Source organism: Homo sapiens, chromosome 11, assembly GCF_000001405.40.
Source record: "Homo sapiens chromosome 11, GRCh38.p14 Primary Assembly".
Taxonomy (NCBI): Eukaryota; Metazoa; Chordata; class Mammalia; order Primates; family Hominidae; genus Homo; species Homo sapiens.
In genome coordinates this window covers 46,335,053-46,358,942 of record NC_000011.10, presented here as the reverse complement: position 1 = coordinate 46,358,942, position 23,890 = coordinate 46,335,053, and the positions used below count along the sequence as shown (strand labels likewise).

Here is a 23,890-nt window from a genome sequence, read left to right as displayed (position 1 = left end):
TCAAACTCCTGACCTCAGGTGATCTGCCCGCCTCAGCCTCCCAAAGTGCTGGGATTACAGGTGTGAGCCTCCACACCTGGCCCACATGTTATTATACAATACCAAAAATCACACTAACTTCACTACTGATCTCATCAGAAAAATTTTAAGCCTGAGGAAGCCGTCAGGCTCTAGGAAGTGAATAAAAGGTTTCCAAAATTCTCATTTTTGCTCAAAAGCTCAAATTTTATCATTGGCAACAAATATTTTATTACTTATTTTTAAAAAATATATGTAGAGATGAGGTCTCACTATGTTGCCCAAGCTGGTCTTTAACCCGTGGGCTCAAGTGATCCTCCTGCCTTGGCCTCCCAAAGTGATAGGATTACAGATATGAGCCATGGTGGCCTGTGCCTGGCAACAAATAATGACACTGTTTTGGAAATGACAAGCTCATGTCATGCACTTTTGAGAAAATGTCTGCCAAATACCTACATCTGACTAGTTTGTCTATCAGGTGTCCAAGTACAAATGGTGTTCTTAAAAAAAAAAGCATCTAGTACAGCTTACAACTGCATCGAGTTAAGAGCTTTTCCTCATCACAGTTTGGTTTGCAGCAAAGGTGCCTTATATATATTTCATATTCCTTCATGTAAAATATCAGAAGATATAGGTACACAAGGGTCTAGACTTTATAAAATTAATGATCTTCACTACTTTTAAAGAAATGTATGTATGGAGTAAGGACTCTGATGTTGGGGCCCCTGCCTAGATTCGCGTTGAGGGGCTAGCAGTTTTACCCACCACTGCTTTTGTGCCATCAGCACAGCAAAAAAAAGGCAGGAACCAGGGTATCTCTGAAAATAGTTTTGACTTTATCAAATCCCTGAAATGGGTCAGGGCACCCCCAGGACCATACTTTTTAAGACCACTGATTCAGAGTGAATCTGCCTTCTCCACCCTGGCAGACGTGGCTCCTGCGGTGTGGCACTAAGCCTCCTGTACTGTGACACGAAGCCTTAGTTCTAACCAAGCCAGCCTATTCTCTGTGCCCCAATCTGGCTGTGCCTGACTTACTGCTGTGCCGCCGCACCTGGCACACCTTCTGCCCCGAATACTGGCCTCCCTCTCTACCTGATAAGCAGCTGCCTGCTCACAGCCAACGGAACACCCCTCCTACTCACAGCTCCGCACTGCCCATTTGGCTCCCCTGCCACTAGAGCCCTGGGAGGCCTGCTTCTTTCAGCCCACATGCCTGCTCCTCCACCAGACCGCGAGCTCCTGGGGGGCCGGGGCCAGGTCTAGCGCATCTGGGCATGCCCGGCATGGTGCCTGGCAGTGAGTCCAGCATTTACTGCTGATCAGTGCAGGAGGAAAGAACAGGGAATTCCACAGGGGAGGGGCCAGCACCTTAAGGGAGGAGAAAGGCTTCTTCCACCTTGTGTAACCACATGCAACGGCTGACCACAGGCTCCAGCTGGCTCAGGCCACTTCTCTTTGTTGGGTACAAGGGGATGGCAACAGCCTTGGTTTGGGTGGCCACCTTCCTCTCCTCTCTAGAGGACCCCAAGAGTGACACCTGGAGGCCCCTTTCTGGGCTGGATGCTATCGCCCGCTCCATGTTCTCCATGGCTTTCTCATGAAAACTAGATAGTCGGTTTGGTGACATGAAGTCACAAGGGGAGGGTGGTGGGCAAGGAAAGGGGAGGAGGGGCTGTCTCAGAGGCTTGGGGGCTAGGCGGGGATCCTAAGCTGGCCTGAGCTCCTTGGTGAAATACCCCCAGTCTCTTCTTTCACATCCGAGTCCCTGACTCAGCCCCTGCTAGGCCTCAAAGAGATGTTTGCGCAACAAATGACCAACCCATTCCTTTAGTGCCTCCCTCCAAGCCAGACTCCCGCTGCCATCAGAATTCATCCTAAAGCACCCAATCACCTTTTACTGACTCTACTGTCAGCTGAGCAAAATGCAAAGACCTGGGGCTGGCAGGCAACAGGCCTCCCAGCCTCCTCTCTGCTCTTTCATATTTTTAATGCTGTATTTGACACTTACATAACTCACTCCACCAGACACTACTCTAAGTGTTTTTACAAATATTAAGCTACGAATCCTCCTAAGAATAGTTGGTATTCTTATCCCCATGGCCCGTATCCTCATATTGCAGATGAGGAAACTGAGAGACAAAGCGGTTAAGTCATTTGCCTGAAGTCGTCCAGCTAACATGTGGCAGTGCTGGGGTTTGAACTCAGTAGTGTGTTCCATGGCACATACCCTCGACCCCTCAGGCTCCACCCTGGATGCTTCTGGCAAACAAAACACCGCGGGTCCCTTTTCCACGTGGCACCACGTGGCATCCGGTGGTCTCCCTACCTGGAATACCACTCCCCTCTCTACTCAGTGAATTCTCCCTCATGGTTTTCCTCTCAGACCCTGGGCAATCAGCACTAATGTGCAAATCTGCATCCCCGGACAGGCTGTGAGCCCCAGGGCCTCACATTGCTTCTAATGGCATCCCCAGAGTGTAGAAGTGCTGGGTGTGGTTTGAAGAGTGAGTGGAGGGAACAGCGCATGGTCTGGACTCAGCCTCATGGATCCCGCTGACAGCACAGGCTTCAGGTGGGCACAGAGCCCCAGGAGTGGGCCAGCTCCCGAGAACTTCCTGCTGCACTGGGTGGACAAGTCTGGTCTGGGCTGAGCTCTGGTGTCTCAGAGGCAACACTGAAACCGATCCCTGATGGGAATGCCAATATATCTCCCTTAGCCTCCCAAAGGGGCCCCTTTGTTATAAACCCCTCGCGGGCCCCCACTCTTCTCTGGTGACCGTCCCATCCTTGTCTTCTCCTGTGTCTGCAGAGGGCTCCCATTCCCCATCTGCTGGGAGAAGCATTTCCCCCTCACCCCTCATTCAATATTAACACCCTGGCCGGGCGGGTGGCTCATGCCTGTAATCCCAGCACTTTGGGAGGCTGAGGCGGGCAGATCACCTGAGGTCAGGAGCTCGAGACCAGCTTGACCAACATGGAGAAACTCCATCTCTACTAAAAATACAAAATTAGCCGGGTGTGGTGGCCCATGCCTGTAATCCCAGCTACTTGGGAGGCTGAGGCAGGTGAATCGCTTGAACCTCAGAGGCAGGGGTTGCGGTGAGCCGAGACCGCGCCATTGCGCTCCAACCTGGGCAACAAGAGCAAAACTCCATCTCAAAAAAAGAAAAAAAAAAAATTTAACACCTCCCCCCTCAACTTTCTGACCATGTTGCTCCCTCCCCCATCAGCCCCCAGGGCCCCACCCCACTCTCCAGGCTTCCACACTACTCACACAGGGGACAAAGGCCTTCACAGTAGGTTTAGCTTCAAAGGCCCAGAGGATCTGCCTCTGACCAGCTACATGACCTCAAGCTAAGCCTTTTAACCTGCCTCAGCCTCAGTTTCCTGATCTGATAAATAGGGCTAATGCCCACCCTCGTCTCTCTCAAGGGAGTGTTGCAGGCTTGAAGGAGAAAGTGTTTGTTCCTGGGAAACAATTCCCCAGTTTACTGAAAGTTTTAAGAAAGAAAATAGCCGGGCGCGGTGGCTCATGCCTGTAATCCCAGCACTTTGGGAGGCTGAGGCGGGCGGATCACGAGGTCGGGAGATCGAGACCATCCTGGCTAACATGGCGAAACCCCGTCTCTACTAAAAATACAAAAAATTAGCCGGGCGTGGTGGCGGGCGCCTGTAGTCCCAGCTACTTGGGAGGCTGAGGCAGGAGAATGGCCTGAACCCGGGAGGCAGAGCTGGCAGTGAGCCGAGATCGCACCACTGCACTCTAGCCTGGGCGAGAGTGAGACTCTGTCTCAAAAAAATAAAATAAAATAAAAAAATAAACACAGAGGCCTAAAAATTAGGACAACTACTTCGGAGCACAATTTGGCAACATCTGTCTAAGCTGAAAATACACAGACCCTGTGAGCAAGCACTGGTGGAGAGAACACAGAGGGATCGCTTGCAATAGCGAAAAACTGCACACCACCCAAGTGTCCGTCAACAGAGCCTGGGCAAATAAGCTGCTGTTACACAATGGAATCGGACGTGGAGGTTAAAATGGATCCGTGAGAATTCATGTTTAGGATGGTTAAATCTCCAAAACAATATTGAGGGAAAAACCTAAATGCAGAATATGCCTGGTATACCATTTAAACCAGAGTAAAATCATACGAAACAGCACTGTATGTTGCTAGGCATGAATACCTATGTAGGACAATTTTAAAAACAGGCACAAGAACATCACACACACCAAAATCAGAATTGTGGTTTCCTCCAGGGAGTAAGACACAGGGGCCTCCATCTCTATCTAAAGCAAATATGGCCTAATGCTAAGCTCCAACCAAGCTAGGCAGTAGGTGTCACCTTATTCTGCACACTTTTCTAACGCCAAGATATTTAATGTGTTTAGAAAGATTTCAAAATCATTTCTTAAAAAGACTCCAGAGGCTGGGCACAGTGGCTCAGGCCTGTAATCTCAGCAACTCAGGAGGCCAAGGTGGGAGGATCACTTAAGGCCAGGAGTTCGAGACCAACCTGGGCAACATAGCAGGACCTCGTCTCTACAAAAGAAAGAAAGAAAGAAAAAATGAGCCCGGTATGGGGGCCCCCACCTATAGTCCTAGCTACTCGGGAGGCTGAGGTGGAAGGATTGCTTGAGCCTAGGGGTTTGAAATTACAGTGAGCTATGATTGTGCCACTGCACTCCAGCCTGGGTGACAGAGGGAGATCCTGTGTCCTACAAAAGACCCCTTGAGGGAGACCAGCCCCCTAGAGCTCCCTGGGTCTACCAGGGATGGTTTTGGCAGCCTGTCCCTCACCCTTTCAGGGCCCTCAGGATGGAAGGAAGGTCTCCCCCAAGGGGATGCCTTCCAGAGGTGGGTGGGTGGTGGCAGGCTGTGTCAGTGGGGTGTCCGTGTGGGTTGGGGAGCAAGAACCAGCTTGCCCCCTTTCACAACCGCCCCCGCCTCTCTCTGTAAAATGTCAGCAAGCTGGGGAAGGGGGCGGAGAGACAGGCAAGCTGTTAACCCGCGAGATGCTGGGGTGTGGGCGGTGCGGGCCCAGGCTCCCAGACAGCTATTTTGGCATGTGCTGAGATGGGCTCATCCCTGGCAGGGGAGAGGCCTCTACGTGGGAGCTCTGAACTGATGCTCTGCCAGGAGCAAGGGGAGGAGGTCTCAGTGTAGATGAGGAGGATGCTGGGGCCCTCCCTCTCCTCTCAGACCTCTCACCATGAGGCACTGGGTACGAGTGAAGCGATCTTCCCTGCCCCAGACCAGCCACCGACCCCTGGGTGGTATGGGGGCTCCTCTGAGCATGTCCATTGGGCTTTAGACTCCCTGCGCCCTTAAAGCAAGGAAAAAGATCAGACTTGTCCTCCACGCCAGACCCAGCCCGGACGCCACATGATGACGGGCTCACAGCCCCAGTCTCTTTACCAAGGGTCTCTCCCAGTCCAGCCTGCTCCCCTGACTTGAGGGATCTTGGTGGCCATTCTCCCTTGGGGGTCCAGGTCAGATTATCTCATGGGTCTCACACCGTTGGCACCGGAGGCAAAGACCTTTCACTAAACCCCATGGAGCACTCAAACCTCTTCTTAGGTCTTCCCAGTTTAGGGATGGCAAATAATAGAAGAAAAGAGTACTCCTAAGTAGAGTGGCCCAATGTCATGAGAAGATCATTGGGCTGGGCTCCAGTGTGAGCTGGGGGATCCTGGCCAGGCCCCTGACCTTTCTGAGCCTTGGTTTTCTTATCTGCAAAATGGGAATCAAACCAACTACAAAGATGTTATGAAGATCACATGAAACTGATGAATTTACAAGCTTCTGGCAGCTGTTAATCACCAAAGACAGAGGAGCTGGAACGCCACTCCTGTCTCTTCAGCCTCTCCCTCCCCTCCGCGGCCACAGAGCCCTTGGTCTCACTCGAACCTGCTTTCCCGACCTAACCACGTCTCTGGTGTTTCAGCGAGGCAGGGGGTGAAGAGGAAAGATGGCAGAATGATAGCTCTTCCAGGGCATTTGGTTAGTTTTGGCCTACCCTCCACACCTGTGACCCAAGTGCCAGCCAAGTCCTGTGCTGAAACCCACACTGCAGGCTGGATGTGGGGCTGACCCCGACACGGAACAGAGGAGAGCCAAGAAGAGCAAGGAATGAGTGCCTGGCACCGCTCAGGGGTGGCCCAGGAACTCGGGGAGCGGAAGAACCTGGCCGCAGGTGTGGCAGATCCCGCTTCCTGCACACACTGCCCCCGCAGCTGACTTAGAGGGCTGTTCAAGGAGGAGGCAGAGGGGGCAGGGAGGAGAGGTGGTCAGCCTGTCCTGGGTCCTGTGATGAGGCCTTAATGAACATGGCCCTGGAAGCCCAGCGCGGGAGTCCCAGATGACCCCGGCTAGCTGCGAGAACTTGGCTGAGTCAAGGCCACCTGGCTGGGCCTGGGCCTCAGGGGACGGGAGGGGTGGGGCCAGGAGGCTAGAGGCACCCACCCAGCCTGCCCTGGGCCGCACTGATTGGCTCCGCCCGGCAGCTAGAGCTGCAGGTAACTTCCAGCGAGTGCCTGTGGGTCCCCGTGGGCCTGTGGACTGGCGGAAGGAGAAGCTCCTCGCCCACCGGCCTCCCACAACGGCAGCTGTCGCCCCCTTGTGTCGCTCCAGAGGCACTGCAGGGCAGCCTCCAGGGGCTGCTTCCACACCTCCCAATTCTCTCCTGCCTTAAAGTGGGTGGAAGGGCTCCGGATCCCTGCTTCTCCGAGGGGCCCGCGCGGCCTAAGACTCAGGGCTAACCTATGACTCCACTTTCACCTCTGCCCCGGGGGGGCCACTGGCGAATTCTGGAGAGGCCTCCAGGGAGCCGAGGAGGGCAGGCCCGTTTCTCTCACTCTCCCCCAGCCCAGCTGCCTGGAGCCTCAGCTTTCTCTCACCAGGGGTCACTTAGTCCTTCCTCTGTCCTTGCCTGAGGGGACACCAACTCTCAAGCTCCTGTGCCAACCGAGAATCCTGGGCAGCTCCACATCCCAGGATCTGACCTTTTTGGAGTATGGCATGGAGACAAAATGACAAGAATTGTCATTCCCTCCCCTGACAGCGTTTGGCACAGAGGGAGACTGTGAGAATTCTACACTGGGTTCCCAGCAGGGGCCAGCTGTATACTCTGGCACCTGACCTTGTGTGGGGAGCAAACACAGTGAGATGAACGCAGCTCGGCCACTGAGGCCCATTTTTCTTTCCCAAACTTGCTGGAACCCAAGGATTCTAGGTTGTCCCTGCCTCTCACAGCAACCTGGGCTGCTCCCAGCATTAGCCCAGGTGAGACAAACCACTCAAAGAGGTTTCCTTTCGCTCCCAGACACCCTGGCACCATAGACAGGGTTCTCACCTCTGCAAAAGAGGCGTCCCTCAACACGTCCCTCCCTATTCATTGCAGAACCAACTCAAACAGGGGCTGCTTCTGCTCAGGCACCCGCTGGGCACCCTCTGCAGCCCTGACTTCAGGGCCATGCTCGCTGGGGCCGTGTGGCAGTGCCTCTAAATGGGACCCATTGTCTCACACTGGTTCTGCAGGTGTGCCTCCTGCCCTCTGGGAGCTTGTGACTTTGAGCACCGTGAAGGGCAGGGGATGGCGGCACAGACGCTCAGGCTCCTAGGGGCTCTGAGGCCAAGGCTCCTTATGTCTACATGTGTGAGGTGCCAGGTAATTTCTGATGCCCCTGGGGTGTAAAACCAGCTAATCCAGAAGCCCTGTGACCTGCCAGGATCAGGCTGCTGAGACCAGGCCAGAGGATAAGCGGGTCCTCCTTCCCGGTGGGTCCTGGAGGAGGAGAGAGAGTCCACTTCTCTCCCACTCCTGGCTGCCCAATCCTTAGGGTCAACAGAAGCTTAAATGGAAAGGTCCTGCCTGCCCTCTGCTCAGGGTAGAGGAAAACTAAATACCCTGGGATCAGAGTAGGGGCCTGTACCTCCTCTCCTCCTCCTCCTCCTCAGGGAGGAGACTGATAGTTCCGGCAAGAAGTAAGGTGGGATGCAGTTGGGGTGGGAGGAATCCACAAGCTGGGGAGAATCATGGCTCACTGAGCTAAAAAAAAAAAAAAAGGGAGATGGCAAGCTGCCACCCCCCGATTCTGAGAGGATGACGCCAGTTGTGTGGGGCAGAGATGGACTTTAAGGAAAAGCCTCTTTCAGCCCCACAGGGGCTGCCATTCAGAGACTGTCCTACCCAGAGGGGCCAGGATGGCAAACATGTGGCCCATGTGCCATCAAGACCCCCTGCCAAGCCCACAGCAGACACTGCTAATTGTTCATGGAACTCTCCCCATGAGCCAGGGCCCGCATGCAGAATTCTCCACCTGGCTTCAGCAGCCACTGCCAACCTAGTTGTTACCCTTGATCTTCCCGTCGGGCCCCTCAACCCCAAGGCTGGATGTGTGTATGTGGGTGGGGTGGGGAGGGGGCGGGATGGGGGACATGGGGTGGATGACTGGGGAGAAGCAAGAGCTAGGTTAAGAGCTAGCATGGAGCTGGGATAAGATGAAGGGCTGGTTTCAGCTGGGGCTTCGAGGACTTTTACCTGAGGCTGCAACAAACAAACAAAGGTAGCAGGACCAGCCAAGCAGCATTGGAGGGGGCAGAACCCAGAGCAGGTGTACTATTCCACCCTTCCACATGTCTGCCCCCAGCACCCACCCCTTGGCCCCATCAAGTCAAAGGGAAGGAGGCCAGCCCCAGTGAGCTCCCAGGCCTGCCAGGAGAAAGTGCTTTCCCTTGCTGCTCTCTGCCTGATACTACTGGGTTCTCTGAATGTATTCATTTCTGAAGGCCCCACTATCCCCAGCACAGTGCTCCCAAACAAAGGACACTCCTTACATGCTTCCAGAGGTGCTGCTGAATTTTCTTTCCTCTCATCAGGCATCCTATAAGAGCACTTACACTCCCCAGCGTGACGGACTACTGTGCTTCTCAAACTTGATGGGACATGAGAATCACCTGGGAAGCTTCAAACAATGCCCAGGCCCCACCTCCAGACCTGATGGGTCAGACACGCCAAGGGAAGATCTAGGAATCTGTATTTCTTAAAGCTCCCTTGGCCATTGTGATGTTCCGTTTGGGATCCTGGTATAGAGAAAGGGATGTGGATTTTGGAATCACACCAACTTGACTTCAAACCTTATCTCTACCTCTTCCTTGCTATGTGACTCTGAGCAAATCCCCTCTGACTGTGTTTCTTTCATCTATAAAAATGGAGAAACAGGCCAGGTGTGGTGGCTCACACCTATAATCCCAGCACTTTGGGAGTCCGAGGTGGGAGGACTGCTTGAGGTCAGGAATTCAAGACCAGGCTGGGCAATGCTGTGTGAGATCTCATCTCTACAAAAAATTGGTTTTTTTTTGTTTTACAAAAGGAAGAATACCACCTACCCTGCTTATTTTAGAGAATTACATAAAGGTATCTGTTGGTTCTCTGGTTTCTTGTTCTTCCTCCCGAATGTGCTCATCCCTATACCCACAAACCTGTGCCCTTCAGAAGGGGCACAGCCACAGGTCAGAAGAACCCAACACTTGATACCCTGTGGGCAGCAACAGGAAGCCTCTGGTGGCGCCCCTCCCTCCCCCTGCGGAGCCTGTGAATACTGGAGGCTACATCCTGCAGAGCTGGGTGTAAACTGCTCCATCTTGCAGGGCTGTGGGTGACAAAACAGAGCTACTGGAAGTTTCACTCCCTGCTCTGTTTTATATGACATTGAAGCCTGCGTGGTAACACAGGAGCCCACGGAGCTCCATCTGCCAGTGTAAGAATTCAGATCTGTGCATGTGCTCAGAGACAGAGTGCAGGTGCAAAGAGTGGGCCCTAGCCCGGGTGAGACGGGTAGAGGGCACAAGTCAGCATCACGGGTATGCTAGCCCACACGACAGGAGAAAACCGCCCATGTTATTGGTGGGTAAAGTCTACCCAGGGAAGGGGCAGAGCAAAGCTAAGGGGCGGGGTGGGGGTGAATGCCACCAAGTCTAGGCAGCTGCAGAAAAGTGAGAGGGAGGCCTTGGGCAGACTCCAAGTGGTCAGAGTTCAGTCTGAGGTGGCTCTGGGGTCCTTGGCTGATTGGCTACAAGCTCCTTGGCCACCAGGGAAGGGCAAGGCTCGGTCAGGAAGAAGCGCAGGGAGCCAGGTCAGGTACTCCTGGGGCCTCACGTCCCTTACCTTACACCACGGCTACCAGGGCAGGCAGCGGCTCACGACCAAGAGCAGCACACTTGCCATGAACTGCCTGCACTCAGTCTTTCCACACTCTCCCCCCGGTTCCCCGCTAGAGTCCTGGTCAAAGCTCTGTCACAGGCACAAGATGGTGACATTTGGAGTGCTGGGGGAGGGGGCAAGATGAAGCTTGAACAGCCAGCAGATTCCAGACTCCAGCCCACCCCATCCCTTTCCCAGCATGGGCTGGAAGAGGGTAGAGGGAGACATGCTGCCTGCCTAGCAGAGGGATGGGCTGGGGTCTCTCTGCTAATTAAGAGCAAGGTAGGGCAGATGATCAGGCACCCCCAACCCCAAGGAGAAGCTTAACATGTTAAACAATTAAACCAGTGACCAGAGCTTGGGGACAAGCCATGTGTGGTGACGGTATCAACGGGGCTACGTTCTGCAGATGCCACGCAGTGATGGTAGGCAACCTGGTCCCACGAAAGTCCAAAGGGCGGTGTGATCCCCACCTCAGTGGTGCCAGGAGGCTCAGAGAGGCCCTGTTCTATCAGTGCCAAGAAGGCGTGGGTGACCAGTCCTGGGGGCCCAACCTGCTTGTGCCGGGGGCTGGGGTGATTCCATCTTCCTGCTGGAGGGTTGGGAGCCGATCCTCCCACGGTACTACACATGAGGCGCACTAGACTGCCGGTGCCAGGGAATGACCCCCACCCGGTGACAGTGCCAAGCCGACCGATCCCGCCCGTGTCCCGGCCCTGGGGGATGACTCCCAGTGGGTGCCCACGCCAAGACGGCTCGTGCCGCCGGTGCCAGCCTCTCCCCGACTCAGTGTCAGTACCGAAGTGGCCCGGACCCCCAGTGGCCGAGGAATGTCCCCCGGTGAGGGAGCGGTAACCTGCCGGTGCCTCGGTGCCTGCCCCGCCGCCGCCCCGCTCACCTGTGCCCGAAGAGCCGCAGCCCCGGGAAGCGCCGCTTGTTGAGTCGCCGCGGCGCCTTGTCCGGCTCGGGACCGGCGTCGCGCTCGGAGCCGCTGGACGAGGCGGAAGCCGACTCGGAGTCGCTGCTCCGGGCCTCGGGGCTACCGTCCCGCGGCTCCATCCGGCCCTAGCCCCGGCCGGCGGAGGGCCCGCGGGAGACGCCCATGCCGGGCCGGCGGCCGGGGCTCAGCACGCCCGCTCCGCGCCGCCCGCCACCTCCATGGCGCGCGCTCGCTCCGCCCGCCCCGCGCCGCGCGCCCCCGCTCCCCACGCCCAGGTGCCCGGGAAGCCGCTGCCGCCGCCGCTCCAGGAAGTGCCGCCAGCCGCGGCCGCAGGACCCCGCATAGCTGGCCGGGCCGCTGCCTGCCCGCCGCCGAGCACGCCCCCTCGGCCGCACGGTGGCACCGGGCCCGCAGCGCCCTCTGCCGGACGCCCGCTGCGCTGCAGCCCGCTGGGGCGGTCCGAGGGGCGGGGCGACGAATGGGCGGGGCAGCAGAAAGCCCTGCCCCCAGCCCGGCCCGGCCCGCCTGGATGGGACTGAATCTCCCGGCCTGGCACACTCGCACTGCGCGCATCCAGACGCGCATCTTTCCTCCCCCGATCCCTCCGCTACCAAACAACTGCACGCTCACAAGTGTACACTCGCGAGGGCTGCTGTCACCACCTCCCCTCCGCTCTCGCACACCCTACTCATAGCCACTCACAATCTCCACCCATACCTCCTTGGCTCCCCCAAATCGCACCCAGGGGAACAAAAGTCACACAGTGCTCCCCATGCACGCAGAACAAACACATCCCTTACACAATTATGCCCACTCATTACTTAAACGAACACTTCCCACCCCAGCCTCTCGCACTCAGTGACCAAAGTCACTTAATGACTCGCACACACACCAACAAAGAACTCACAAGTTTCTCCTACAAAGTCATCCTTCCACAGCTATTCACAATGGTTTCCAACCTTCTCACCCAGGCCCAACACATCGCATTTTCCTGACATAGTATTCAACAGAACCTATAGATCTCATATGCTACGGGAATCACCTGCACAGCCCTTACACACTCACAAATACACAGAAGGACAACAGGTACCACACTCCCATTCACAAGCACACATGCCCACACAGAACACACACCTTTCTCCTACATACAAATACTCCCAGGACAATGGTTACCGGTTGCCACATCCCTCACACATATGTATGTGTGTGCATATGCACACACTCCCATCCAGAAATATACCTCACATGCACACACAAAGACACCCCACAATGCAGCCGAGGCCGTCCCCCTCCAGAAATGAGAGCAATTGGAACCCAAGCAGTCACCTGTAGGGGCACAGCCATCACACACACCGGGGCTGTTTCTGATGGCCCCCGCAGGGCTGACGAAGGGAGGCCAGGAGCTGGGAAGCATGGTCTTCCACCTCCCCAAACCCTACCACCCTGCTGCCCACACCAGCTGCCCACTACTTCTGTGTGCACGCCTCTCTGCCAAGCCACATCCTGTGTCACCTTCGCTTTCATCCTCCCCTCTTGGGTTCTGGCAGCCCGTTTTCCAGCCTTAGTCAGCCGCAAATAGCCAATGCTTAGGGCTGTGACCTGCGGACAAGCCTGTGATTTTGAGGAAGAACCAGCACCCCGAGGCCCAGAACCCTCTCCCAGTTTCCTGCAAGTTGGGAGAAGGTCTGATCAGGGAGGTGGGGCTCCAGCCCTCCAGCCAGCAGCTGGTGCCAGGGTGGCCAGGAGGAGGGCAGATCAATCCCCAAGTATGCCTGACAACTGGCCTCTGGGGTGCATGGGTCCTTTTGGGGAAGTTTCCCAATGGCTCTTACTCCAAGCTCTGAGAGAAGAGATCAGAGGCAACTGAAGACCCCACGGAGTCTCCACAAGGCCTTGCAGCTGGGTCAGAAATCTCCAGCATCCAGTGCCACACTCCTGGGGGGGCTCCTCTTCCCAGATCCCCCCACTGCTAGCTTGCTCAACTCCTGGCCTCTCTCGAGCTCAGTTCCTCCACACAGTCCAAACATCAGAGCTCCCTGCACCCTGCCAATAACTCCTTTGCCCTACTCTGTGCCTCTGCAGAGTGCTGGATGACAGATGGGTGACCCTACTTCTGTCACCCCCATCTCAGATAAAAGGCTCATAGAGGGACAGAGGTCCCATGCCCACTCCCAGGCCACCCCTTGTACCTACTGTGTCTGGGGTGCCTCTGATGGGATCTGTGGCACGTCCCAGGAGCGGTAGCGCCACATCTGCCTCAGTGACCCCGGCCGCTCCCCTTCTTCCGTCCCCAGCGCCTCCACTGGGCCCAGAGCTGAGGATTCATTGCAGCTTCCCCCGGCACTGTGGCCAGCCCCCGGTGCGCTCATCCTGCCCGGCGACTCTCTTCCTCTTTCGGCACTTCCTGACGGGGGTGGGGTCGAGGGGGGGGCCTGCTAGAGGCCGCTGGCCGCCCAAGCTGAGGACCACAGGCTCAGGGCTCATAGGCGCCTTCCGCTGGCTGGGGCCAGCTGCCGTGAAGAGCTGCACAAGAAAGCAAGGGGCAGGTGGGGACAAGCCCAGACCAGCAGCCAGGAGGCAGCCATGGGGCTTGCTTGGGCTGGAATCTGCACCTGGGCTCCTGTCTGGTTTTCCTCTCCATTTAAACTGTCTGATTTTCAACTCTTGGTCCTGCTGAGGTCTCCCGCTTTATGACAACCACCAGGTACAATGGCTGGGTGTGCCCAGCCCTCAAAGAGCGCTCTCTTCCTAGCACTTCTGTGTGCAGCATACCATCTTACACAGGGCTGGGCATACAGGAAGGTGGTGTAGAGAAATGAGCAATGAGGATGGAGCCTGGAGACATGAGCATGTGTCCTGTTCTGCCTCTTACCAGCTCTGTGTGGCCTGGATCAGGTCATAAACCTCTCGGAGTCCTCTAAATAACTTTTGGGACAAGGTAGCCTATAAACAAATAAACTAATGAATACATGTGCCAGGGAGATTTTCTGAGCCTCAGTTTTCTCATCTGTAAAGTGGAGTAATAGGCCAGGCATGGTGGCTCACACCTGTAATCCCAACACTTTGGGAGGCCGAGGTGGGCAGATCACCTGAGCTCAGGAGTTTGAGACCAGTCTGGCCAACATGGTGAAACCCCATTTCTACTAAAAATACAAAAATTAGCCCGGCGTGGTGGCAGGTGCCTGTAATCACAGCTACTTGGGAGGCTGAGGCAGGAGAATCGCTTGAACCTGGGAGGTGGAGGTTGTGATGAGCCGAGTTCGCGCCACTGCACTCCAGCCTGGGTGACAAGAGTGAGACACTGTCTCCAAAAAAAAAAAAAAAAAATTGAGCTCATGGTGTTATCTGAGGAATAAAGAAGAGATAGGAAGGTTGACAAATTAATTCATTCAATAAATACTTATTGAATGCCTTCTGTGCATCAGGCACCGTATCGGAGAACATAGCTCTAAAAACAAGGAAGCAGGGCTCTGTCCTCACAGAGCTTAGATTCTAGTGGGGAAGACATTCAGGAAACAAACAATCTATGTACAATATAATGTCAGCAAACAAGATGTGCCATAAAGATTGGGAGGCTGAGGCTGGTGGGTTACTTGAGGTCAGGAGTTTGAGACTAGCCTGGCCAACATGGTGAAACCCCCTGTCTACTAAAAGTACAAAAACTAGCTGGGTGTGGTGGTGGACATCCGTAATCCCAGCTACTCTGGAGGCTGAGGCAGGAGAATCGTTTGAATTCGGGAGGCGGAGTTTGCAGTAAGCTGAAATCACACCACTGCACTCTAGCCTGGGCAACAGAATGAGACTCTGTCTAAAAAAAAAAAAAGATGTGCTATAAAGAAAAATGAAGCCAAAGGAAGGGAGAAGAGTGATGAGAGTGACTTAGGCAGGGGGAGGGGATCAGGGAGGGCCTCTCTGGGGAGGTGATATTTGAGAGCAGACCTGAATGAATGGGGAGCGTGAGCTATGTGACTTACCTGGGAGAATAGCATTCTAGGTGGAAGTAGAGTCAGAGCAAAGGCATGGAACAAAGAATGTATTTGTGTCTGGAGAATTGCAAAAAGGCCAGCATGGCCAGAGAACAGGGAGCCAGGGGGAATGCGTTAGGAGCTGGAAAGATCTCCAGAGGCCAAACTGTGCTGGAGTTCAAGGCCATTGTGAGGATTTGGTAAATAAATACTAGGGCATATATTCACTCTTTATTCTTAGGACTGGTTCTAGGAAGGAAACTGTACCTTCCTCAAGCATTCTTTAATCGCCCTGCTCTATAACTAGTTCTTTAGTTGTATATGTGTTTGTTACTGTGAATTTCTTGAGGACAGAAACAGCATCAGTTCAGTTCAGTAAACATTTATGCTACAGAACCCTTCAAGATGCTATCCCGACCCTTAAAAACCTCCATCTGGTGCTGTAATCACCTTTGTGTCCCTCATGATGGGAACATAATATTTTTCAGTAAATATTTGTTTAATAAATGCATGCTATGCAATTAATAATTAATACTCAGTAATCATAAAACAATGGCTAATAGTTCCTGAACATTTCTGTGCCAAAAATCTTACTGAATATGTAACGTAGCTCTTTGAATCCTCTTAATGACTCTAGGAGGTAGATCTTGTTATTTTCCTCCTTTTTTTGCTTTTTTTTTGTTTTTTTTTGAGACTGAGCCTCACTCTGTCACCCAGGCTGGAGTGTAGTGGCGTGATCTCTGCTTACTACATCCTCTGCCTCCCAGGTTCAAGCGATTCTTGTGCCTCAACCCCCAGAGTAGCTTGGATCACAGGCGTGCGCTACCATGCCCAGCTAATTTTTGTATTTTTAGTAGAGACGGAGTTTCACCATGTTGACCAGGCTGGTCTTGAATTCCTGACCTCAAGTGATCTGCCCGCCTTGGCCTCCCAAAGTCCTGGGATTACAGGCATGAGCCACCGCACCTGGCCTTATTTTCCTCCTTTTACAGATGGGGAAATCAAGGCACAGGGCTGCTAAGCTTACCTGTCTAAGGTCACCCAGCTGGTAAGTGGTAGAAGTGAGAATCTAGCCCCAGAATCTGTGCTCTTAAATAAAACATCCTATTGCTGCTCTAAGGTAGGGGATATGGCCATGTAATGCCCCCAAGGCTCAGTCCCCACTTTTCCACGTTTCCTCTCCAACCCATTATCTCTGAATGCCTCAAGATGGGTTCTATATGCTGTGGCCTCATCGGAGACTGTGTCCACCAGACCAAGGTCTATTCTGGAAGGAGGCTGTGCAGGGCCCTGCCTTCCTCTTGCAGGCATTTTGCAAGTAGCTCGAGCAGTTAAACAGAGGAAATGGGGCTGGGCTTGTTTTCCATCTGAGGCGTCTGGCAGCCCTGGAGCTGCAGAGAGCAGGAAATGGGGCTCCTGGAGGGGAAGCAGGCAGGCTGGAGGCTTCAAGAAGCAGGGCAGTCCTGACTGTGAGACTAGGGCCACCTTGAACTTGCACTCCTTGGCGCTGTCAATGTCATCTCTGCTTTCCAGGTGGGGTGGGGAGGACACGGCTGGAAGGGACAGGTGCATGGGACTATGGAGGATGCCCTTGGCAGTTCCTAGGACAACATGTGCCAGCCCTGGGAAGCTGGGGACCCCTCAGAATCCACCCAGGTACACACAGGAAGAAGAATCTGGGTAAGAAAATTATTCTGGGCTTTGTTGAGGCCCCAGAGGTTGGTGTTCTACTTTCTGTGGCCTGGATGAGCAAGTGGGAGCTGGGGAAAAGAAATGTACCAGGGCAACAAACACTCAACCCACGACCTGGACATCCTCTGCTGTCAAAACCCGCCCAGCCAGCCTCCTTGGCCTGACCTTCGCGGCTCCTTACGTTCTCTGGCTGTTCTTGCTTTTCCGCCTCTTTGTCCAGGCTTTCCCTGCAGAGATTTTCTCTCAGCTCATGCCATGCTAGTGCCTGCCTCATAGTAGGTGCTAAATGAACCTCCCCTCCTCCCCCTTTTCGCATTCCCTTCACATGTGGCCCTAACCCCTGCCATTCCCTTTGCCTATGTTGCACTCCTAGGTTGTCTTCCCTGAGTATTTGGCCAATCACATTCTCCATCCTTCAGACCCAGCCCAAGCAGCAAAAGTGGGAAGGTAGAAAGAGCCGCAGACATGGAGTCCATTGGTTCACACTCCAGCCCTTGCTGTGTGACTGTGGGCCAGTCATTACCCTCTCTGGGTTGGACCAGATGATTTCTAAGATCTGCTCTAGATCTGACAGTTCCATTTGAATCTTCTTTCCTGATTTCCAAGTTTTTGGTCATTCATTCCTTCATTCATTTGTACGACAAATATTTCATAAATATCTACCAAGTGTCAAACACTTCTCCTGAACTGGCATTCCACCCCACCTGCTGATCCCTTACCTATGATGCTCACTTTTGTTCCCAATGATATTCCTGTATCATCTGACTTTTTGTGCACTTAGTCTTGCTTCCTTACAAAATTCTTGAACCTTATGTTGCTCCTAGCTCAGTGCTGGGTACATGAGTTTGTGCTCAGTGACTTCCTATGGAAGTTGCCATGGGTTGAATACAGGTGTTCAGAAGGCTGGGCAGAGGGAGGGAGGGAGACTGGCTTCTTGTTTGCCTAAGTGGCCATGGTGAGACATGGAGAGTTTGGAGACAGAGCCTTGCTCTGTTGCCCTGGCTGGAGTGCAGTGGCATGATCTCAGCTCACTGCAACCTCCGCCTCTCAGGTTCAAGCGATTCTCCTGCCTCAGCCTCCTAAGTAGCTGGGATTACAAGTATGTCCCACCACACCTGGCAATTTTTGTATTTTTAGTAGAGACAGGGTTTCGCCATGTTGCCCAGGCTGGTCTCATACTCCTGGCCTCAAGTGATTGGCCCGCCCTGGCCTTCCAACATTCTGGGATTACAGGCGTGAGCCACCATGCCTGTCCTACAAGGATTTTGAAGTTTAAGTGCATGCCTCCCCATTAGCTATGCCTGTGATCTGGGCACCTGCTGAAGCCTTTGGGAGCAACCCAGAGCCTGGGATCACCTGCTGATCACTGGCCCCTGCTGAAGTGCTGGGCCTCTGCCCCCACAGAGGAGACAGATGTGTCTGAGCTGGGTTGCAGGTGCTGCTGGCTAGTGACAGATGGACATTTGACTAGGTTCCTTTTGGGTAGCTTCACGAAAGTCATGAGCAGGAGGAAACCTGGAGGAGGGGCTGGAGACCCTCTCCTGCTGAGGCAAGAGAGCTGCAGGCACAGCACTGGCGGCCCAGCAGCCAAAGGTGGTCCTTCAAACCACCATGTCTCTTGAAAGCTGTCCTTTGGCACCTCCCAATTTCCTGGATTGGAGGTGAGAGAGGAGCCTGCACAGCTCTCCCCTTAGTCTGGGTCAGCTGCATCTGCTCAAAAGTTTCCATCTGTCCCCACCCTGGACTACACCAAGCCCCCACGACACGGTCAGTGTGTCTCCTGCCTTCCAAGCCTCCCACTCACATCTGTAGGGTCATAAGCCCTGATTGCATAGCTACCTTTCAGCCCCCTTACTACCTATCCTATTACCACACCCAGAGATATGTACACTTTGTACAGAGCCAAAAGCAAGATCCTCAAGGATGAAAGTCTAGGCCTTTGCAAGCCTGACAGAGTAAAAAGGGCTTTGGAGAGAAACAGATCTCAGTCTGGATCCTGGCTCCACCAGTTACTGGCTCTGTGATCTCAACACATTGCTTAACTTCTGCCAACCTTAGCTCCTCATTTGTAAGCTGCGGCCCAGTGGCCTCCAAAGCACTGCCTACTCTGCAATCTCTGATTAGCCTTTTCCAGGCATCTATAGGCCGAGAGCCCTTGTCAGTCACACTGGAGCCCTGCAGAAGCCTAGAGTCCAGTCCCAGTTCCTTCCCCACCCTCTTTGTATGTCATTGAAGAGAGGTTTTCTCCAGTTGGTACTAACCCTTGTCCCTGGCACCCTGGACCTTGGAGGGGCCTTTCTGAAAACTCTGAAAGGCACCAACTGAGGCAAAAATGAGACTCCACTCCAGGCTTCCCCATGCTTGGCCCACAGGCCACCATCTCAGCAGGCCACCAAATAAGTTCTTCAAATGCCATTGATCAAACTGGCCTTCCCAGGTTCCCTCCAAAATGCCCAAGTGGCTGTGCCCCTTGGTGCGGGGACTGGGGGACATGGGCTGCTGGGGGCACGTCCCAAGCTCCTTGTGCCAAAATGAGGTCAGATAAGACCCTCTCCTGGGATCCCGATCCCTGCACGTTGGCCTCTGGGACAGTGTGGCACTGCCCTCTCTGGCCTTTGACTCACTGATCAGCAAGAACTGCAGGTCCCTGAGGGGAGGGAAGGAGTTCCGGGCTGGGCCTGGGCCCCGCCCTTTTCAAAGGAAAGAAAATTGATGGACCCCAGGCTTCCTCTGGCCGTGGTCCCCTCCCCCTGCTCAGCTCAGCTCTCTGCCCCTGGTTTTGCATTGTTAATTCAGGACAGAATGTGATCTCTGGCAGCTCCTTGCTTTATCCTGTTGCTATTTAAATTACAAATCGGCCCCATCTCCCTGTCACTCTTGGGTTATTTTTAGCTTCTGGTAAATAGCCGCAGGGAGAGTTGGATCAGGTGCCCCTCCCTTGAGGAGTCGTGGACCCGCAGCAGCGTGCCCACGGCAGGGGGCATCCTCATCTGCCAGTTGGTGCCCAGTCCCTGCCCCCAGCCCCTCTGCAGGGGTGGAGAAGGGGGAGGACCGTAGGCTGGGACATGCGCGCATGCTCAGCCTTGCTTTTAGTCTCTGTTAAACTTTACCACCCCTGGGTCCCACCACCATCTGTGGCTCGGGGCCAGCCTCCATCTCCACACCTTACAGGGCCTCTGGAACCCACGGAGGGGTCCAGCTACACAGGACAAAAGCTCTAACTTGTTTTACCCGTGCTCTGAGTCAGGAAGTTGACATCTGGTATCTTCTTGAATCTTCCCAGCCACATTCTTGATAAGGTATCATCGCTCGCATTTTCCGTGTGAGGAAACAGGGTCAGAAGTGAAAGCCTCTTACCCAACTAGGAAGGGGCAGGGCTGGAATTGGAGCCCAGGTCTCTCTGACCCAGAAGGATGCACGGGCATTGCATGACCTCTCTTGGTGGGATGCATGTGCCACGGAGCCCCCCGCCACCATGCTCAGGTTCATTCCGATGCCTCAGTTCTTGTTTCCCATGAGCTTGTCCTGTCCCATCTACTGGATCGGGGCCACATCCAGCCTGCTGCTTGTTTTTGTAGGGCCCAGGAGCTAAGAGTGCTTTTTTTTTTTTTTTTTTTTTTTTTTTTGAGATGGAGTTTTGCTCTGTTGCCCAGGCTGGAGTGCAGTGGCGCGATGTTGGCTTACTGCAACCTTTGCCTACCGGGTTCAAGCGATTCTCCTGCCTCAGCCTCCCGAGTATCTTGGGTAACAGGCACCCACCATCACGCCTGGCTAATTTTTGTATTTTTAGTAGAGGTGGGATTTAACCACGTTGGCCAGGCTGGCCTCGAACTCCTGAGCTAGGTGATCCACCTGCCTCAGCCTCCCAAAGTGCGGAGATTACAGGCGTGAGCCACCACGCCCGGCAAGAATGCTTTTTAAGTTTTTAAATGAGTGGGAAAAAGCAAAAGAATGGTATTGCGTTGCTGAAATTCTATGAAATGTTAAGTTCAGTGTCTATGAATAAAGTTTTAGCAGAACCCTGGCGCTTCTTCACTTACACGTTGTCTATGACTGCTTTTGCACCACAATGGCAGAGTCGAGTGCCCTGCAAAGCCTAAAGTATTTACTGTCTCACCCTGTATGGGGGTCACACTTTTGTTAAGGGAAGGGACTGTTTCCCATATTTCCATCTCAGGTAATGCTTGGCCCACACCCAGGACACCAGGTACAGGCACTGGTTCTTCCTAGAGGCCCTTCTGGGGCCAAAACAGAACTCAGCACAGGGAAGCCCTCCGCCAGCCACATCCCAGTGAGTCATCTCACATTGGACACCCCCTCCCTCCATTTTTTTTTTTGTTTGTTTGTTTCCTGCCCTGCCCTTTTCTCTTTTTCCTTCGGCTTCTTCACAGGCAAAACCAGTGGTTTCCAAACCTGCTCCACTGTCAAAATTACCTGGGAGAGGTTTTTAGCATGGAGGCGTCCAGGCCCAACCCTATACACCTGTAGCAAGACCTCTAGGGAGAGGGCTTTAGAATCCATTTTAAGGCTGGGCGCGGTGGCTTATGCCTGTAATCCCAGAACTTTGGGAGGCCGAGGTGGATGGATCACCTGAGGTCAGGAGTTTGAGAACAGCCTGGCCAACATGGCGAAACCCCGTCTCTACTAAAAATACAAAAATTAGCCCGGCGTGGTGGTGGGCGCCTGTAGTCCCAGCTACTTGGCAGGCTGAGGCAGGAGAATTGCTTGAACCCGGGAGGTGGCAGTTGCAGTGAACCAAGATCACGCCATTGCACTTCAGCCTGGGCGACAGAGTGAGACTCTGTCTCAAAAAAAAAAAAAAAAAAAAAAAAAAGAACCCATTTAAAAAGAGACCCCCAGGTGATCCAGTTTGGAAGCCACTGAGTTTAACTCTGGAATTGCAAATCCTGCATCTTTGAACTGATCTTTTTAGACCAAGCCCTGCATCCCTTGCCCCACTCTGGCTTTACCTAGCTGGAGCCTGCTCTCCCATGGTCTCTTGAGCCCAACCCTGATCATTTACGCTGAGAGTGACTTTTCCTTTCCCCCAGATGGAGATGCAAGATCTCAGGCACTACTGCCTTGCCCCCCACTTTTTTTAGAGACAGGATCTCACTCTATCTCCCAGCCTCGAGTGCAGTGGCGCAATTGTGGCTCACCGCAGCCTCGAATTCTTGTGCTTAAGCAATCCTCCCACCTCAACATTCTGAGTAGCTGGGACTACAGACGCATGCAACCACGCCCAGCTAATTTTAACAAAATCTGTAGAGGCCAGGAGCAGTGGGTCATGCTTGTGACCCCAGCACTTTGGGAGGCCAAGATGGGCGATCGCTTGAGCCCAGGAGTTCGAGACCAGCCTGGCAACACGGCGAAACCCCATCCCTACAAAAAATACCAAAAATTATCCAGGCATGGTAGTGTGTGCTGAGGAGGCTGAGGTGGGAGGATCACCTGAGTCAAGGCTGCAGTGAGCCATGATCATGATAGTGCACTCCAGCCTGGGTGACACACACAGTGAGACCCTATCTCAAAAACAAAAACAAAAAATTTTTTTGCTGTAGAGACAGGGTCTCACTGTGTCACTCAGGCTGGTCCCAAATCCCTGGGCTCAAGTGATCCTCCTGCCTTGGCCTCCAGAAATGCTGGGATTACAGGCATGAGTCACCATGCCTAGACCTGCCCTGCCCTTTTATGACTTATTGGAAACCAGGACCCATTTAAACCAAACAAGGACATACCCCATTGAAGTTCTTCCCTTGCCTTCTTTCCTGCCTTCTTGCCCTTCCCCCCTCCCCTGCCTTTCCAGGTGTCTGAGTTTCTGCTGGCACACACCCGCCATCTCTCCATCCACCTAAAGAAGCTGCCAGGGTTGCTTCCAGCCCATGCTGGCACTGGGAGGCGAAGGAAACCTATTTCTGAGAAAGCCCCACACCCCTCTAAGCTTCTAGTGTCCTGCCAAAGCCCCCGTCCTCACTTACGTCAGAAGCAGCCAGGCCTTCAGCCCGCTTCCGCTTCCACTCCTCGCCCTCAGATTTTTTTGCCCCCACATTTCTGTCTAAAAGCCTTTTCGCTCTGGAAAGGGCTTTCAACTGCTTTTCTTAGCAACTCCGCACAGCAGGGTAGGAGGTTTAGCTGCCAGCCAGAGCTGCACGGAACTGTGGCATGTGGAGGATGTGAAAAGGGCCACCATGGGCCTGAGCTCCTGCCAGCCCCCGGTCCCCCAGTCCCCCTGCCAGGAGGCCACAGGCCACCCAGGACAGCAGCCACAAGAGAGGGCTTAGTTGGAGAGCACAGTTTGTTCCCCTGGGGTCCCCTGGGCCTGGAAGAGCTGCTGGCTCTTTCCCAGGGCTTGTCTGTCTGTCCTCTACCAGGGGCTCTCCTTGCCTTGATGCCTTGTTCGGCTCTGAGACTGAGACTGGGTTCCTAGACTAACCCCAGGGAGTGAGGAGATGCCCTATCCTTCTCATCTGTCCAAGGGTGACAGCAGAGTCCACCCTGGTGTTGTTTTCTGCCGCCCTCACACAGGTAACCTGGAGGCAGGGGTTGGGGGGACCTCAGTGGGATTACCTGGCATCCTTGGTGATTACAGGCCCCAAGTTGTTTGGGCTGTGGAGGGGCCTCCCTTCTGGGGCCACCCAGGGGAATCCCAGCCCTTGCCGCTGTGTGCGTGTGTGTGTGTGTGTGTGTGTGTGTGCGTGCACGTGTGCAACATTTTCTATCTCAGCCCTTTAATTATTCAATTATTCTTTGCTCTCTGCCCTCTAAGTCTCCACTCCACTCTGGCCTCCATTTGTGATTTTTTTTTTTTTTTGATGGAGTCACCCTCTGTCGCCAGGCTAGAGTACAGTGGCGCCATCTCTGCTCACTGCAACCTCTGCCTCCCAGGTTCAAGTGATTCTCCTGTCTCAGGCTTCCGAGTAGCTGGGATTACAGGTGCCTGCCACCACACCTGGTTAATTTTTGTATATTTAGTAGAGACAGGGTTTCACCATGTTGGCCAGGCTGGTCTTGAACTTGTGACCTCAAGTGATCCTCCTGCCTCGGCCTCCCAAAGTGCTGGAATTACAGG

The 23,890-nt window shown here is 54.0% G+C and overlaps 1 protein-coding gene across 6 annotated transcripts in view, besides 18 other annotated features; it reads right to left on the bottom strand.

Annotated features, from left to right (window-relative positions):
- DGKZ (diacylglycerol kinase zeta) overlaps positions 1–23,890 on the bottom strand; it is a 47,629-nt gene that overhangs the window by 21,612 nt on the left and 2,127 nt on the right. For 4 of the 6 annotated variants that reach the window (NM_001199266.2, NM_003646.4, NM_001199268.2 and 1 more), the window contains exon 1: positions 11,123–11,480. The exons of 1 other annotated variant lie outside the window; for it this stretch is intronic. In NM_001199266.2, the coding sequence (NP_001186195.1) occupies positions 11,123–11,283 (161 nt within the window). In that variant the 5' untranslated portion in view covers positions 11,284–11,480. Of the gene's footprint in view, positions 1–11,122; positions 11,481–13,357; positions 13,677–23,890 lie in introns of those variants that run through there. One more of the 6 variants, NM_201533.3, reaches the window with a different exon arrangement.
- Positions 2,403–3,271: an enhancer, noted in NCBI's record as "H3K27ac-H3K4me1 hESC enhancer chr11:46377222-46378090 (GRCh37/hg19 assembly coordinates)". NCBI's record gives its function as "activates a minimal SCP1, AML or CMV promoter by ChIP-STARR-seq in naive H9 embryonic stem cells {active_cell/tissue: H9 hESC(naive)}" and the evidence as "EXISTENCE:reporter gene assay evidence [ECO:0000049][PMID:30033119]".
- Positions 4,594–5,447: an enhancer, noted in NCBI's record as "H3K27ac-H3K4me1 hESC enhancer chr11:46375046-46375899 (GRCh37/hg19 assembly coordinates)". NCBI's record gives its function as "activates a minimal SCP1, AML or CMV promoter by ChIP-STARR-seq in primed H9 embryonic stem cells {active_cell/tissue: H9 hESC(primed)}" and the evidence as "EXISTENCE:reporter gene assay evidence [ECO:0000049][PMID:30033119]".
- Positions 5,448–6,302: an enhancer, noted in NCBI's record as "H3K27ac-H3K4me1 hESC enhancer chr11:46374191-46375045 (GRCh37/hg19 assembly coordinates)". NCBI's record gives its function as "activates a minimal SCP1, AML or CMV promoter by ChIP-STARR-seq in naive and primed H9 embryonic stem cells {active_cell/tissue: H9 hESC(naive and primed)}" and the evidence as "EXISTENCE:reporter gene assay evidence [ECO:0000049][PMID:30033119]".
- Positions 6,303–7,157: an enhancer, noted in NCBI's record as "H3K27ac-H3K4me1 hESC enhancer chr11:46373336-46374190 (GRCh37/hg19 assembly coordinates)". NCBI's record gives its function as "activates a minimal SCP1, AML or CMV promoter by ChIP-STARR-seq in primed H9 embryonic stem cells {active_cell/tissue: H9 hESC(primed)}" and the evidence as "EXISTENCE:reporter gene assay evidence [ECO:0000049][PMID:30033119]".
- Positions 6,690–6,759: an enhancer, noted in NCBI's record as "active region_4680". NCBI's record gives its function as "activates an Ori minimal core promoter by ATAC-STARR-seq in GM12878 lymphoblastoid cells {active_cell/tissue: GM12878}" and the evidence as "EXISTENCE:reporter gene assay evidence [ECO:0000049][PMID:35858748]".
- Positions 9,669–10,654: an enhancer, noted in NCBI's record as "H3K27ac-H3K4me1 hESC enhancer chr11:46369839-46370824 (GRCh37/hg19 assembly coordinates)". NCBI's record gives its function as "activates a minimal SCP1, AML or CMV promoter by ChIP-STARR-seq in naive H9 embryonic stem cells {active_cell/tissue: H9 hESC(naive)}" and the evidence as "EXISTENCE:reporter gene assay evidence [ECO:0000049][PMID:30033119]".
- Positions 10,172–10,331: a silencer, noted in NCBI's record as "fragment chr11:46370162-46370321 (GRCh37/hg19 assembly coordinates)". NCBI's record gives its function as "represses an EF-1alpha promoter that drives an FKBP-Casp9 reporter gene in an ReSE screen in phorbol 12-myristate 13-acetate-treated (for megakaryocytic differentiation) K562 erythroleukemia cells {active_cell/tissue: K562(+PMA)}" and the evidence as "EXISTENCE:reporter gene assay evidence [ECO:0000049][PMID:32094911]".
- Positions 10,968–11,181: a silencer, noted in NCBI's record as "fragment chr11:46369312-46369525 (GRCh37/hg19 assembly coordinates)". NCBI's record gives its function as "represses an EF-1alpha promoter that drives an FKBP-Casp9 reporter gene in an ReSE screen in phorbol 12-myristate 13-acetate-treated (for megakaryocytic differentiation) K562 erythroleukemia cells {active_cell/tissue: K562(+PMA)}" and the evidence as "EXISTENCE:reporter gene assay evidence [ECO:0000049][PMID:32094911]".
- Positions 10,968–11,193: a biological region, named in NCBI's record as "ReSE screen-validated silencer GRCh37_chr11:46369312-46369525".
- Positions 11,144–11,193: a silencer, noted in NCBI's record as "silent region_3304". NCBI's record gives its function as "represses an Ori minimal core promoter by ATAC-STARR-seq in GM12878 lymphoblastoid cells {active_cell/tissue: GM12878}" and the evidence as "EXISTENCE:reporter gene assay evidence [ECO:0000049][PMID:35858748]".
- Positions 11,294–11,773: a silencer, noted in NCBI's record as "silent region_3303". NCBI's record gives its function as "represses an Ori minimal core promoter by ATAC-STARR-seq in GM12878 lymphoblastoid cells {active_cell/tissue: GM12878}" and the evidence as "EXISTENCE:reporter gene assay evidence [ECO:0000049][PMID:35858748]".
- Positions 12,558–12,607: an enhancer, noted in NCBI's record as "active region_4679". NCBI's record gives its function as "activates an Ori minimal core promoter by ATAC-STARR-seq in GM12878 lymphoblastoid cells {active_cell/tissue: GM12878}" and the evidence as "EXISTENCE:reporter gene assay evidence [ECO:0000049][PMID:35858748]".
- Positions 12,678–12,747: an enhancer, noted in NCBI's record as "active region_4678". NCBI's record gives its function as "activates an Ori minimal core promoter by ATAC-STARR-seq in GM12878 lymphoblastoid cells {active_cell/tissue: GM12878}" and the evidence as "EXISTENCE:reporter gene assay evidence [ECO:0000049][PMID:35858748]".
- Positions 13,450–13,744: an enhancer, noted in NCBI's record as "tiled region #11965; HepG2 Activating non-DNase unmatched - State 8:EnhW". NCBI's record gives its function as "activates a minimal TATA promoter and a strong SV40 promoter by Sharpr-MPRA in HepG2 cells {active_cell/tissue: HepG2}" and the evidence as "EXISTENCE:reporter gene assay evidence [ECO:0000049][PMID:27701403]".
- Positions 13,450–13,797: a biological region, named in NCBI's record as "Sharpr-MPRA regulatory region 11965".
- Positions 13,688–13,797: an enhancer, noted in NCBI's record as "active region_4677". NCBI's record gives its function as "activates an Ori minimal core promoter by ATAC-STARR-seq in GM12878 lymphoblastoid cells {active_cell/tissue: GM12878}" and the evidence as "EXISTENCE:reporter gene assay evidence [ECO:0000049][PMID:35858748]".
- Positions 19,075–19,804: an enhancer, noted in NCBI's record as "OCT4-NANOG-H3K27ac-H3K4me1 hESC enhancer chr11:46360689-46361418 (GRCh37/hg19 assembly coordinates)". NCBI's record gives its function as "activates a minimal SCP1, AML or CMV promoter by ChIP-STARR-seq in primed H9 embryonic stem cells {active_cell/tissue: H9 hESC(primed)}" and the evidence as "EXISTENCE:reporter gene assay evidence [ECO:0000049][PMID:30033119]".
- Positions 21,995–22,724: an enhancer, noted in NCBI's record as "H3K27ac-H3K4me1 hESC enhancer chr11:46357769-46358498 (GRCh37/hg19 assembly coordinates)". NCBI's record gives its function as "activates a minimal SCP1, AML or CMV promoter by ChIP-STARR-seq in primed H9 embryonic stem cells {active_cell/tissue: H9 hESC(primed)}" and the evidence as "EXISTENCE:reporter gene assay evidence [ECO:0000049][PMID:30033119]".